The 15077-nt window shown below is 34.1% G+C and overlaps 1 protein-coding gene across 13 annotated transcripts in view; it reads left to right on the top strand.

Annotated features, from left to right (window-relative positions):
- The window catches only part of FBXL17 (F-box and leucine rich repeat protein 17), a 523064-nt gene that overhangs the window by 29160 nt on the left and 478827 nt on the right, over window positions 1–15077 (top strand). For 10 of the 13 annotated variants that reach the window (XR_427717.4, NM_001163315.3, XM_005272048.5 and 7 more), the window contains exon 4: window positions 4409–4540. Coding sequence is in view for 11 of the 13 variants with exons in the window: in NM_001163315.3 (NP_001156787.2) it covers window positions 4409–4540 (132 nt within the window). In the remaining 2 variants the exon portion in view is untranslated. Of the gene's footprint in view, window positions 1–4408; window positions 4541–8912; window positions 12248–15077 lie in introns of those variants that run through there. The other 3 variants (XM_011543580.3, XR_007058627.1, XM_011543579.3) reach the window with 3 other exon arrangements.

Here is a 15077-nt window from a genome sequence, read left to right as displayed (position 1 = left end):
CATCTTTTTGGTGTCTCAGCTGGATGCCAGGGCACTTCACAGGATTTCTCCCTTTTGACAGAGTAGAGCTCCAGTGTCTCTAGCACTGTCTTCCTGGACAGATAATTTTTTATTTAGAAGAATTATATTCGTCCAGGCGCAGTGGCTCACGCCTGTAATCCCAGCACTTTGGGAGGCTGAGGCGGGCGGATCATGAGGTCAGGAGTTCGAGACCAGCCTGGCCAACATAGTGAAACTCCGTGTCTACTAAAAATACAAAAATTAGCTGGGAGTCATGGCGGGTGCCTGTAGTCCCAGCTACTCGGGAGGCTGAGGCAGGAGAATCGCTTGAAACCAGAAGGTGGAGTTTGCAGTGAGCCGAGATCACACCACTGCACTCCAGCCTGGGCGAAAGAGCGAAACTCCGTCTCAAAAAACAAAACAACAACAAAAAAGAATTGTATTCTATTTCTATGGTTTTTAGATAGAGTACTAATTGTGCTAGATTTAAGGCATCCTAATGGTGATGATTTTGTAAGATTTGGTTGATGCCCTCTGAATGTTTTTCTGTGGGTCATAGATGAATACAACATTGAGAAATTTAAAGACTGTCAGCCAAATTGTAAATATATCAGTTATAATGATTGACTTTACAGTGCTTGGATAGTCTGGAACTTAGGACATTTGTGGATGGCGTAATGGTGAGTAGTGCAGATAGGCACTGATTTGGGTCTGGTCTTGCCGGTTATATCCAGTGATGTCTAAAACAGAATATCAGTTTCTGCAGTGAGATTAAATGATGGTTTTACTCAGTAGTAGTAAATCATAATAGCTTCTCCTGTGAGGCACTGTTCCCCACATCTGACTTTACCTCACATGCTGGTAATTTCTGCATATGCCATCCACATGGTTCTCATCTTTGTGTGGTTATCCACGTGGCCTGTATGAAAAGTCATTTCTTTATAGATAAAGCCACCAAAGCTACTTTTCAATGTCAAAACACCATGTAGTCAGTTTAAATTATTTTCCCAGCCTGCGGCGCTGTGATTTACGTGTCTTAACCTGAGGTTCTACCAACTTGTCCATGCACATTGATGTCTAAGACTTCACCAAAAACCACACTTATTCCTTCTGTTGATATGTAGATTCTCTTCTTTTATTTCTCCGTTTTTCTAGCTTGTGTACTAACTGTTGAGGTCTCATGGGGCCTCCTATTCACTGCTCAGGATGTTATCAAATTGATAAGTATGACGAAGAAATAGTGATGAAGGAGCAAGATGTCAGCTTTAGCACTCAGAAAATCTAAGGTGGAGAAGGTTGCTTACAAACAATGCTAAATGGGATTGTTAACCTGACTCTGGAGTTTGGCTAACTGACTAGTCATTGACTAGGCTGACCAGCAGAGTGGCCCCAAATAGAGAAATAAAGATTGCTTGCTCCCTGTATGCAGTTTATTCACAAGGGGAAGAAGTATACATATGAGCTGAAAATATCCAGTTTATTAAATACAGAATAATCAGTGGAGAGACCGGGAATCAGACTAGTTGGGCTTCCTACAGAATGAGAAAACATTTTCCCCTGGCATGTTTGTTTGTATTTTTTAAAAAACTTACCCACTTTTGACTGTTTATTGCTGATTCCTTGTATCAAAGATAAGGATTTAGCTCACTTATACTTCCTTCCCTGTGTCTTATCCTCTCATCCTTCCAACATAATTCTATTATAATTTTTGTTAAATAAGTATTCAGTATTTACATTCTATAATTATGTACCTATCTTTTTTCTCTAAAGCATTTTGTTTTCATTGGAATTAATAAATGTCTTTTTATTTCTTTACCTAGTTTTTATACTCTTAACACTAATGAAGACCAAAGCTTTCCTCCAGTTGCATTAGTATGTCTATATGTGAATACTTAATTACATTTACTGCCCTACAGCAGATTTGCCTGGGATAGTCTAGTCTGGACTTCTCATATACAAGTGTGATGGCATTAGTGGTCACCTTAGTATCTTACGACCGTTATCCTTAAGATTTTCTTTCTCTTGCTGTTGGGTTAGATCTTCTGTTACCCAGATGTCATGTTTTCTTTCCCTTGGTGTATTCTCGTGTTTTATAGAGCACAGATTCCAGTACCTTCCTGATAAAGTGTATATGGGAGGTAAATCTTTTGATAACTTGTATGTCTGAAAACATCTCTAATTCTGCTTTCACACTTAATTCATAATCTGAATCCCGAGTACAGAATTCTGGGTTAGAAATAATTTATCTTCAGAATTTGATGGCATTGGACTGTTGCTTTCTTTTAGTTTTGTTAAGAAGTTTGATGCATTTTCATCCTAATCCTTTCTATGAAGTTTATCTAAGTCTGTAGAATCTCTTTAAACTCCTGTTTCTGAAACTTTTTGATGATTTGCATTGCCATGTGTCTATTTTTGTCATTTATGCTGGACAAGTGGATAAGCCTTTTCAGTCTGGAAGTTGATATCCTTTCATTCTGGAAAATGGGATAGAAATGTTTCTTTGAATTCCTCCGTTTTCACTGTATAAACGTTCACAAATCCCCATATTTTCAGCATTGTGCTTTGGTTCTCAGCTATCTGTGGTATACCCCAGTCCAAAAACCCTACGTTTTGCTCTCCCCAGAGAAATACATTTTTTTGCCATTGTAGGAAAAAGGGCAAGGTCAGGCTGTGCAGTAATGGGGAGGTGATCTGAGGATTTAACTAATTTTTAAACAGACTTTCAAGAATTCTAGTATTTTTAGCCCCAACCTCAGCCTCACTGCCAGACATATATGTGAGCCTGTTGAGAGTTCTTCAATAGACTTCTTTGCTTTTCCCACTGTTGGCTTTGGATTTAGTTTCCTCAACATTTGTTATAGAAATATATATGCCTCTTTTAATGAATTCAATAAAAATCTGATAGCTAATGAGCATGATGACTACTAATGAAAAATATTTCAAGGTATCTGCAACAGTGATATATGAAATAATCTTTGATTTCTATTGCTTACAAAGTCTTAGGTATTGCTAAGCTACTGTGCTGTTTTTCATATGGTAAGGAAAGGCTAAAGTTCATTTGGAGGATAACATAAAAAATGAACATGCACTTTTAAAAAATCTGCTTTCCTGGAACCCCTGAATTCTCTCCATGGGCCAGTTAGAACCACTGAATTAACTGGAATTTAGTAGTATATGAGGCCAAAATCATGGTTTCTTGTATTTGCGCATTTAAAATGAGAGCTGCTTTATAGTGCATAATCCTGATCAGCCTTTTCATTTATTTAACAAATATTTATTAAGTATCAACTAAGTGTAAGATATCGGGCACCAGAGTTACCTTATTTAACAAAATAGACAAACTGCTGTCTTCATGGAGTTTACATTTCTGTAGGAATATGTTATTGGTTGTAGTGCAGCCTAGATTATAATAATATAGTTTATATCTATCACCACCCCTGGAAAAGTAACTGAACTCACATATATTTCTGATGTCATTACTTGAGACAGAACTTGGAAGTTTTTTTTTCTTACAAAAGCAATGTTTATTAAAAAAATTAGAGAAGATTCATAGGCAGAAGGGAATAAAAACTCACTCATGCGCTAATCAGAATTAACCACTGTGAACACCTTGGTATGTATTTCAGTCCCTTTTCTGTGCACAAATACACATGTATGTATTTAAATATGCATAATTTCTTTATAAAATTGGATTATACTATAAAAACTTACATACATTTTTGTCAAATGTTTCTTCCAATTGTAGTGGTTGTATAATATTCAGTTTTATGAATACACCATAATTTATTCCTTTAAGCATTATATTTTTTTCCTCACTATTAAGACTCAAGAGAGGCTGGGTGCAGTGGCTCACACCTGTAATCCCAGGACTTTGGGAGGCTGAGGTGGGAGGATTGCTCGAGGCCAGGAGTTTGAGACTAGTCTGGGTAACATAGCGAGACCCTAGCTCTACAACAAAATTTAAAAAGTAGCCAGGTGTGGTGGCACACACCTGTACTCCCAGCTACTCAGGAGGCTGAGGTAAGAGGATCTCTTTAGCCCAGGAGGTTGAGGCTGCAGTGAGCCATGATTGAGCCACTGCACTCTAGCCTGGGCGACACAGTGAGACCCTGTCTTTAAAAATATATATACTGGAGTAATAGATATGTAATTTTGAACTGTTAAGGAATATACATACCTTGGAGGGCTTGTAATGTGAGTTGGTTGAAACGGGGGTAAATTAGAAGGTTAAAAATGTTTATACAGTACTGTTTTAAGTTATGGATTGCTTACATTCTATCTTATTTTACAAGTAACATAAATATTTAACTCTGACGTGGTTATTTTCAAAAAATTATATGAAAATCTCACTTGAAATATGTTGCCTTTGTTATTTTTTGAGCATTCAGCTAAATCTGTTTGTTTACAGCTGGGCTCAAAATGCAGAGAACTCAAAGATATTCATTTCGGCCAGTGTTACAAGATCTCAGATGAAGGCATGATCGTCATAGCTAAGGGCTGTCTGAAATTACAAAGGATATACATGCAGGAAAACAAATTAGTAAGTACTTGTTATCATCCTTGTATTGTTCATTTTGTTCCTAACCTTCGAATTCTTTCAAGTTTATTTATAATTTTTTCTGCTTATTTTCTTGTGATGGTTCAAATACTACTTAATCAAAAGCAAAAATCCTTTTAAAGTGATGATTTTATAAATTGATCTTTTAACTGAATAGATGGTGTTTGTGTGTGGTACTTGCATGTTAAAAATCCCTCATTAGCATGTGCCAATGCATCTTTTCTAAATGTGGACAGTGAACTAATACTGGTAAATTGGAAAAATCAAATTTGTTTGCCAAACATAAGTCTGTGGTTGTGTAGTTCTTTCTGATATCTCTAGGGATTATAATAATTCTAGACAGTTAGAATTTTTTTTATTGTCCAGAAAAATGTACTCTTGTAAAATAGAGTCTTTTACTTAGTATCATAAAAAATGGGATTCAATAAGTTAGAGCATATAATAGGGCAATTACATAGATTTTATATTTTAAGCACATACATGGGTAATGCAGACACATTTAATATATTGTGCTTAAAAATCTTACAATTTTTTTTGAGAGATAATTCACATAAAATACATTTCACCCTTTTAAAGTGTACAACTCATCGGTTTTTAGTATATTTACCATGTTGTGCAGTCATTACCAATGTCTAATTTTTGAATATTTTCATTACCCCTAAAAAAATCCTGTGCCCATTAGCTATCCCTCCCCATTTTACCCTTCTTCTAGTCCCTGGCAACTGCTAATCTACTTTCTATCTCTATGGGTTTTCCTAGTCTAGATATTTTGTATAAATGGAATCACGTGATACGTGGTCTTGTTTCTGGTGTCTCAGCATGATGTTTTCAAGGCTCATTCGTGTTTATCATGTATCAGAGCTTTATTATGTTTTATGGCTGAATAATATTCCAAAGCATTTATGTTTTTATATGATAGGTACATCATATCAGTTAAAAGAAAAAGTTGTCACTAGGATGCACCAGTAGGAGTTCTTAAAATTGAAAAATAGCGTACATACAGTCATGGGCCATATAACAATGTTTGGGTTAACAGTGGATAGCATATACAGTAGTGGTCCTGTAAGATTATTATACTGTATTTTTGCCTTTTCTATGTTTAGATACAGAAATACCATTGTATTACAGTTGCCTGCAGTATTCATTACAGTGACATGCTGTTCAGCTTTGCAGCTTAGGGGCAATAAAAGCTATACCATATGGCCCAGGGCTTTCTGTATGCTCTAGGTTTGTGTAAGTACATTCTGTGATGTTCACACAATGACAAAATTACCTAATGACACATTTCTCATAACATTTTCCTGTCATTAAGCAATGCATGTCTGTATTTGAAAATGTTGTCAGGGTAGTCCTGAATGTGTAGTATACTACAAAGAAGACTTGCTTTTTTAGTTGTATTTCAAAAATGAAGAGATCTTTTTATTGCCCCTTGGAGTTCATAACATTTAATAATTTTTATGTAATAGTCATTCTTGAGACAGTAGGATTTTGTAAAGAGAAGTTAGGTCTGTGTTAGACTGAATTTTTGAATATTGGTATCCACTCACTTGCATAGTGACCCTGGGAAAGTTACTTGAGTTCTTTACACCTCATTTGTAAATGAAGTTATTGATATCTGTCTATTTGCTAGTTATAGTTTTGACGATTAAATGACACTGTATCTTTAAGTTGTCTAGTACGAAGTCTGACTTACAGGAGATATGTAAAACATAGTAGTTTTTATGGCATCACAACTGTATTTGTTACCTAACTTTTGGTTTTCACTTTACATCCAAGGTAAATTAAAGGATGGTGATCTCAATTTAGAAGTTTTCTGTTTCTCAAGCAGTAGGATATTTGTTGACTTTTATTTTTCTTGTTGAGTAAACATAAAGAAATAGTTTTATTGGCAATCAAACAATTTTTAGCCAATGGTTTCCCAAAGAAAGCAACTGTTTATGTTTTTAAGGTTTTTGTTATGTTCACATTAGTTTTTTTCTAGTATTTTGGTACATTAAAAATATGTTATATACGTAAATGCTAAGGGCATCAGTTTTGTATTTTTTTTTATTTAACATTTTCATTTCATTGGAAATTTGAGGTAATTTTGCTAAGTCTTAAAGGCTAATTCACTACAGTTCTTCCCATTTAAGTTTATTACAAAAGGAAATTTAGAATAATTTGAACTCTTTATTGGATAATTGAGATATTGATAACTAACCTCCTATAGGAAGTTTGTATTTTTAAAATTTATGAAATAAAGAGAAATATTTAAATACTTGCGAAGCCATAGCTTTAAGTAATTAGGATGTTTTTACTTTGACACCTATTCTTAGTAATGTAACAACAAATATTTTAAGTTAGCAACTAATACAGGTACGTACAGAGAACACTGTCAGAAAGAATGCCAAAAGAATTTCAACTATGCTTTGACAAATACTGATAATCAGTCAAATTATTTTGCTAATTCTCTTAATAAACTGAATATTCTCAAAAAGAGTATTATAGCTTAATTGCAGAGTCTAAAAATAATCATAGCATAGTTTTCATATAAACTTTGCTGACTTAAAATATCAAGCTATTTTGGTAGTATTTGAGTATACATACATCTTTTCATATTATATCTTGGCCTTTAGATGGCAGCATTGTCTTTGTATATTTCTGTGACATAGCTTTTATGTCCTTGATGTAACTATAAGGATGTAATGCCTCTATAAGTTTCTGCTGATGGTTTCTGCTGATGTTGTGGTTTATTTTACATTTTTGTTCTTTATGTGACCTTAATGGGAAAATTTCTTCTTAAGTTATTTAAAATAATTGTATCTAGAATGCCACAGGATGAACTTACCATTTTACACAAAGTAGTAAGATAGTAGAACATTTTTATTTGTGGCACTAGTTTAAGTAAGATAAACTTTAGAAAAGGGGAAGGATTCCTGTGTTTATGAGGGAGAAGTTTTATTCATGTGGAAAGTGAGGACAATGATTTGCCATAAATGAGTTATGGTGAAGCAGAGAACTGAGGACTTAGATGTACAATTTTTTTTTCTTTTTTTTTTCTTTTTGAGATGGAGTTTTGCTCTGTAACCCAGGCTGGAGTGCAATGGCACAATCTCAGCTCACTGCAACTTCCTCTTCCCAGGTTCAAGCAATTCTCCTGCCTCAGCCTCCTGAGTAGCTAGGATTACAGGTGCAAGCCACCATGCCCAGCTAATTTTTTTTTGTATTTTTAGTAGAGATGGCGTTTCACCATGTTGGTCAGGCTGGTCTCGAACTCCTGACCTCATGATCCGCCCACCTCGGCCTCCCAAAGTGCTGGGATTACAGGTGTGAGCCACCGTGCCCGGCCTTAGATGTAGAATTTTCCCAAAAGAGAATTCTTTGAGTTCTGTTTCAGTTATTTTTGAGTGAGACAGGTGTCATGTACCTACATAGGTATAGTTTGCATTTGCTGTAAAACTCTTGTGTCGACTATACACATAGATTTGAGGAGTATAGCTGTAGTGAGGGTCTAGCATATTGTATGTGTCTGTTTCTTCTAGTGATAGGTTTTATATCACTTTTGTATAGTGCATGCCACAAAGCTATTTTTAAGTCATATTTAGTTTGAGCATATAGTCATTATCTAGAAACCTCAGTTAAGTATATTTCCTGTGCTTCTTTAATTTCCCTGTACCAGATTCTGCTTCTCTACTTTTTGGACAGAGAACCTCTTTGGGTGGCTTTTTATTCCATTGTAAAACGATGAGGTCGGATAGATTACCTGCCATTTGTTATATAGGCCAGTGTTTTAAACTACTGGAATTTTATGAGTTATTCTAAAAATAGCTTCTGTGCTATGCCCTATGTCAGAGTATTTTTGATGTAGATCTGTATGCGTTATGTGTGTGTTTGGCCTATTTTTTACATTTTCTACTCTGAATAATTAGGCTGTAAACTATTATAGATTACTCAATTCTCAAGAAAATAGTAATACTATGAATAGATTTCAGAAAGTTATAGGGAAATGATTATAGGGAAATGGAAAGTTGATTTCCTGAAAGTTAATTGTGACTGTTTACTTTTCAGTCTCTTAGTTGATATTTTACTAGTTTTATAATTCTGTGACTTCTCTTAGAGTCCTTTGACTGCTGCTGTAACAATCTTGTTTTAAATTTCATCCTTTGGAGGCTTACATGAATGATGTAGGATCAAATTCACCTCTCCAGGCTTTCCCCCCCGACCCCCTAGGCTGAAAGCATTTTAAGGGGAGATGGAGGCAAACGCCATTTTTGAGTTGCACTGAACTCAGTTAAAACCTTGATCCTGCTGTTTCTTACTCATGTGACTTGCTTTAGTTATCTTAATTTTTGCACTTTGTTTTCCTTCCTTGCAGAAAGGATACAATACTACTTCATACATGTTCTATTGAGGATCAGACTAAATGAGATTAAGAGGTAAAGCGCCAAATGAGTTTCATTGCCACAAAACACAAGAAAGCTTCAATAAAGGTTTTTTTCCTCTCCTATCAGGAGAGGATAGTGAAGCCTATTATTTGCTTTCTGCAGTTTACTAATTTGAATTGGGCTGTATCAATGTCTAATATCACCTAGTCTGTTTTTACCTGTTAGCCACTGACAGTTTAATTTTTTTTTCTCTTTGCTGTGATTTGAGGCTGTTGTAGCAGTTAGGTGAAAAAATTGGTAGCCATGTTGATAATCAACTAGAGTAGTATATAAGATAAACATTTGTGTCACAGTTTAAATAGCAGTAGTTAATTCAGCATTATGTGAAAGCTTCCATTTCCTGACTCTTACTGTTCACCATAGAGTTAATAAATTAATGGGTTTATATATGAGTTAATATATTAAGGAGATTGGTTGTCCGCACCCTTAGTTCCCCTCCTATAATCTTGATGTCTTATTTCTCAAATACTCCTTGTGAAGTGAGTTTAATTGTAATACCAGACATAAATAATTTACATTTTTGAGGGATTTTGTACAAAGGGTTAAGTACTCACTTGAGCCTCCCAAATCATCCAGAGTATATACTCGCCTTCAGTGTTCTTTCCCCTCTTAATGGATGGGGCATTTACTTAAACCCAGAATGGTAGTTTCCAGTGAACAGTAATATTTGAATGTGGCATTCTAAAGAGGTGATCTAAAGATATTGAACATCATCTTATTGTTGTCTTTGTCCACTTGGGTTGCTGTACCAAAATACTATAAACTGGATAACTTACAAACAACAGACATGTGTTTGTCACAGATCTGGAGGCTGACAAGTCCAAGATTAAGGCACTGGCAGGTTTGGTGTTTGGTGAGGGCTTGCTTTCTAGTTTATAGACACCTTCTCCCTGTATCCTCACATGGTAGAAAGGCAAACAAGCTCCCTGTGTTCTATTTTATAAAGGTACTAATCCCATATATTAGGGCTCTGCCCTCATGATTTAATCACTCCCCAAAGATCCCACTTCCTAATACTATCATCTTGGAGGTTAGGATTTCAACATATGGGTTTTGGGGGTACACAAACCTTTAGACCATAGCAACTACATCTCAGGATTTTGCTATCATTTGCTGGTAATAGAAAATGTTTGATACAAGTTATCTTTTATTGAGTATTTTTAATATACCAGGTACTATGCTGTTTTATATAATTAATCCTCATAACTACCACATGAGGTAGCTATTTTTATCCAATTTTACCAGTGAGGTAATTGAGGCATAAAGAAGTTAACAACAGGTGGGTGTCAAAGTCAAAATTCTAACCCAGATCTGTTAAGATTCCCAAACTTCTCTTCTCTAGCCCTTTGGATTGCATGGATACATTACCTGTAATGCTAATCCACACACGTTTGAACCAAGTAGCAACTTCCAAAAGACATTATCTCCCTTGAAAACACTTATGGACCAGTGCTGTGAGACATCAAAGGAAGAAGTTAATTATTAGCATGAGTAGAAAATCATTTTTTAGGATGATAATTGATTTCAGGAGAAGCTGCAAGTACCAGCAGAAGTGTATTTAAAAATTTTTCTAGGAAAATTCCTGAAATTATCAAAGAGGAAAGCTAGTATTTAGTGTTAATCTTAATCCTATTTGAATATGAATATAATTAATAATAGAATTGCAGTATTTTATACAAAATTTCTCTGTATTACAGACATAGTGTTTTACATTTTTGTGATATTTTGATTCAGAAGCTAGTACCATTTGATTTTTGTCCAGAAGATTTAATGGCAATTTTAATGAATTCATGAACTGATAACTCTGTACTCTGTTCCTTAACACTTGTTTCAGATGTTCATTCAGTTCCATTAACATTTGAACAGTTACTATGTGCCAGGCACTGTGAGAGGTGTCGAAGAATTAAACAAGAGTTATACTGCCAAAGAGAGAAGATCCTGGTCTCATGATAGTGCTATAGAAACACCAATTGCAAAAATAGTTATTCTTATGTGAGGGATAAGAAAGGAATCTGAAAATCCTATAAATAGTAAGTGACATTTGAACTAAGTTTTGAATTACATGTAGTGATGTGATGAATATGCAAGCAGACATATTTTAGGGTAAGGTAATTGCACTAATGGAAAAGAGCGTTAACAAAGATAAAACATCAGAAAAATATGGGGAATGCTTAATAAGTGGTGAGTGTTACAGTGCCACTAGGTTGATAGGCTAGGTAGTAGGGAAGTATTCATATTTGGTCTGGAAAAGAAAGAAAGGACCAGGTTGTTAAATTTTTTTCAGTGTCATGCTGTGAAATTTGAAAGTCTCTAGGTAATAAGAACTATAGCATGAGATTTTAGCAAGTGTGAAATGTGATCAGATTTTAATTCTTGTTTTATTTATCTATTTTGAGAAATTAAGAAAAATATAGAATACAAAAAGGAGTAATAACAGCTGTATGCCTGTCACCCATAAATTGACAGTTGTTAACATTTTATTAAATTTGCTGCTGCTGCTTGAATTAATAAAGCAAATAAACTTCAAGTCTCTGTTGTCTTACATTCGTACTGTTGTCCCATTGTTCCCTTCCAGAGCAACTGCTATGATGATCTAAAATGCTTTAAAAAATATTTTAATATGTATGTGGATACCCATGATGTGGTATTATTTAGTTTGTGGTCACATGTAATTTATATCTAGTGACATATGGTTAAATATCTGGTCTCACAAAGTATATATGAGTCTACAATTTGCATGTTTACTTTTATTTTTGAGATCTAGCCATAATGGGTATAATTCATTCTTTTTCATTGTTAGTATTCTATTATATGTATAAATCTCTGGGTTATTCATTTCCTATTGAAGGACACTTACATTGCTTCTACTGTTTTACTATCAGAGGCAGTATTGCAATAAAATTATTGTATAAATCTCTTGTGCTCATCTTCAAGAGTTCTCTACGGCATATATGAGAAGTATATACAATATGGTACTAAGATATGTACATTTTCAAATTTTTCTATATCATGTCAAATCACTCTCTACTGGTAATTGAAATCATGTTTTAGAGATGTATCTTGCTGATGGAGTGTCAACTCTTTTGAGGGCCAGGAATATGTGCTCATCTTTTTATTCATCCCTCCTAGTGTTGGAATATAATAGACATTCAATAAATGTTGGGTTAGGGACAGATGGGTTACTACTGCATTGTGCATGCTTTAAAAAATGTATCACTTCAAATATTTTGGTGACATATTTTATTAAATAAAAGCTTAAAATAGCTTAAAGAGTCAAATGTTTTTTCACTTTTAAAGTAAGTAAATTGTTTTGACCTAGTTAGCACATTAATGATGCCATTCTTTATGTATCAAATTTATCCAGCCAAAGTCACTAATGTACTCAAGGGGTATTTTTTGGCATAATTGTCATTAACAACATGCAGTTCTGATCAACTAGAATGTAATTCTTGTCAGAATTATGTTGACTTGTACATTCTTACTGTTAATAAAATCGGTTTTATTTTGTTTAAGTGGTATTTGAAAGATCCAATTTAATTTAAAACGAGTTTTTTTTTTTTTTTTTTAAAGTAGAGACAGGGTCTCACTATATTGCCCAGGCTGGTCTCGAACTCCCGGGCTCAAGCGATTCTCCTGCCTTGGCCTCCCGAATTGCTGGGATTGTAGGCATCAGCCACCATGCCTGGCCTAAAACACGTTTTTTTGACAGTATAATTTCAATCTGAAGAATAAATACATTTTTACTCATTCTAAATTCTTTGCTAGATCGTATCCTCTTATTCTCTTTTTAGTCTATTGGTATCTTTCTCTTAAGGTTTTTTTTTTTTTTAATCACATAGCTTGGCAGGAACATAAGTGGATTATATTCTATCATTTGAAGGCATTGAAAGCAATAAAGAATGAATGTGTATTTTTTCTTTCCCTGTGTGCCAGTGTCGTATGGAAGACAGGCAGTGTCTTGGATGATATCCAGACAATTTTTCTTTGGAATGCATTATTTTTTACCCAGCAGATTTACCTGCTTAATTATATTAGTTTAGCAATATTAAAATTAGTTCACTAACTCTGGGGATTCATCAGCTGATGATAGGAGATGGCCAAATGCAAACGGGATCTCAGGAGGAAGCTAGCTTAGTATTAAAAACTCCGATAAGGATATCCCAGTGTGGATAATGCAGAATTTGTTATGGTTAAAAATAGGAAATTCCAAATAGTATTTAAGTATTCTTTAAAAATATATTTTTTTCTGGATCAAATTTTAGAATGCTTCTTTTGGATTTAAAATTTATGGTTAGTAGATTATTTTTAGTGTAATTCCTTGGCTAGTGCTTTTTTCCCCACATACATAGTCTGTAGTTTAAGTCCTTTTTTTTTTTTAATAAAAATCTAATTTTTATTTGCTTTCTTTTTTGACTACCTGTTAAAATCAGATATTTGAAGCAAAACAAATTATCTCTAAGATACAAGTGTGGAAGTGCAGTCTTGGGCTTTGTGCTCAAGTGTTGGCAACGGGAGATAGTGGGTTGAGATAAAGACTTGAGTCATTAGGCTTAGCAAATAGAAATTTTATAAGGTTAGATGGCAGTGGCATGCTAGTAGTACATTAAGCCTGTCATCTATGAGGATATTTTCCTGAACTACCTTTCTAGCCAGTCAACAAGTGAAATGTATTATTTGGATCTAGGAAGAAGTTTTGGCTTATGTTTTTATCCACAGTAATGAGGTTCTAGGGTTTTAGGATATCCAAGACTTATTCCCAGTTATTTCAGTGACTAAACTTAAAGGAAGGAGAATTGGAGAATTAGCTTTTTTTCTTTCTTTCTTTTTTAAATAAAGATTTGCCTTTCTAAATATAGTTTACAAACTGTAGTTGAATCTGGCTTCTGGGTAATAGGATGCACTTTTTCCATCATTTTATTGTAGTCATTATCACAAAGATACATTATTGTAAATGTCCTATGGCACTTGGGCCTTTGTCAGGTAACCCTGTCTTCAGGCAAAGATATACAGGTGATGTTCCTATCTAAACCTGTGTGCTGAGTACTGTTCCTATTAGTGCTGCAGATTTTGCTTACTCATATTAGGTAGGTTGTCTTCTTTTGCTGTCTTTCTTTAAATTATTTACAAAGGTTTGAACATAAAGTTACCTGACAGGCAGTAGAAGGATGTATTCATCATGTGAGTTTTGGGGTGGATTCTTTTTGTTGTTGTTGTTGTTGACTATATCATCCAGATTTTAATAGCCAAGAAATTTAAAAGCCAGATAAGTCCATACTGTTTCGATACTTTTTTTTCCCAACCCTTCTTCTCTTGCATCTTAGTTGTAGCCACATCTAGGTTGCAGACTATATCAGTATAGTATTTTTCTTTAGTGGCTGCCATATTTCATTATTTTTGGTTTCTAAAGTATGATGGTAGAAGTACTCAAGTTACTTCAGGAGAGTTTGGGGATAAAAAATTTGTAGTGTCTGTTACCAGATCTTTATTGGCTATTTTTGATTGGAGCATAAAATCTAGATGGTTATCATTCACTTTAATAAAACATATAAATAAATATATTGAGACTCTGTAATACAAAGAAAAGTGGTTGTAAATCCGAGTCCTTCTTACTGAACTATAGTTGGGTGATTTTCTTTTATTTTCATTTTTACTGTATATCTTTGAGAATATAAAGAAGAAGGCATATATTTATATTCATTACTGTTTAAATGTCCAAGTGAACGCCGAGAGGTTATAAAATTATTTGCATCATGTTCTAGCTTTTCATTGTAACTCCTCTGAGAACATGATAAAACTTCTATATCTTTTTAGTAGGTTAATATTTATTCTAAGTATTTGAAGATAATTTTGTAGCTTGCTATTTCATACATTTTAAATTGTTGCAGGACACTAATATATACACATATACTCATTCTATTAATATACTGATAAATCTCTGTTTATCATATATAATTGTAGGCAGTTTCATCAGATCTAGTATACATTCTATAGTTTTTCATTGTTTTAAGCTTTTTTGTGCGAAGAATTTAATGGAAAAAAGTGTGAAAGGTTAAAGATACATTGTATATATTCCTCTGAATTCACTCATAAACTAA

This window comes from Homo sapiens, chromosome 5 (assembly GCF_000001405.40).
Source record: "Homo sapiens chromosome 5, GRCh38.p14 Primary Assembly".
Classification (NCBI taxonomy): Eukaryota; Metazoa; Chordata; class Mammalia; order Primates; family Hominidae; genus Homo; species Homo sapiens.
The sequence above is the reverse complement of the archived record's forward strand: the minus strand, read 5'-3'. Positions and strand labels throughout refer to the sequence as shown.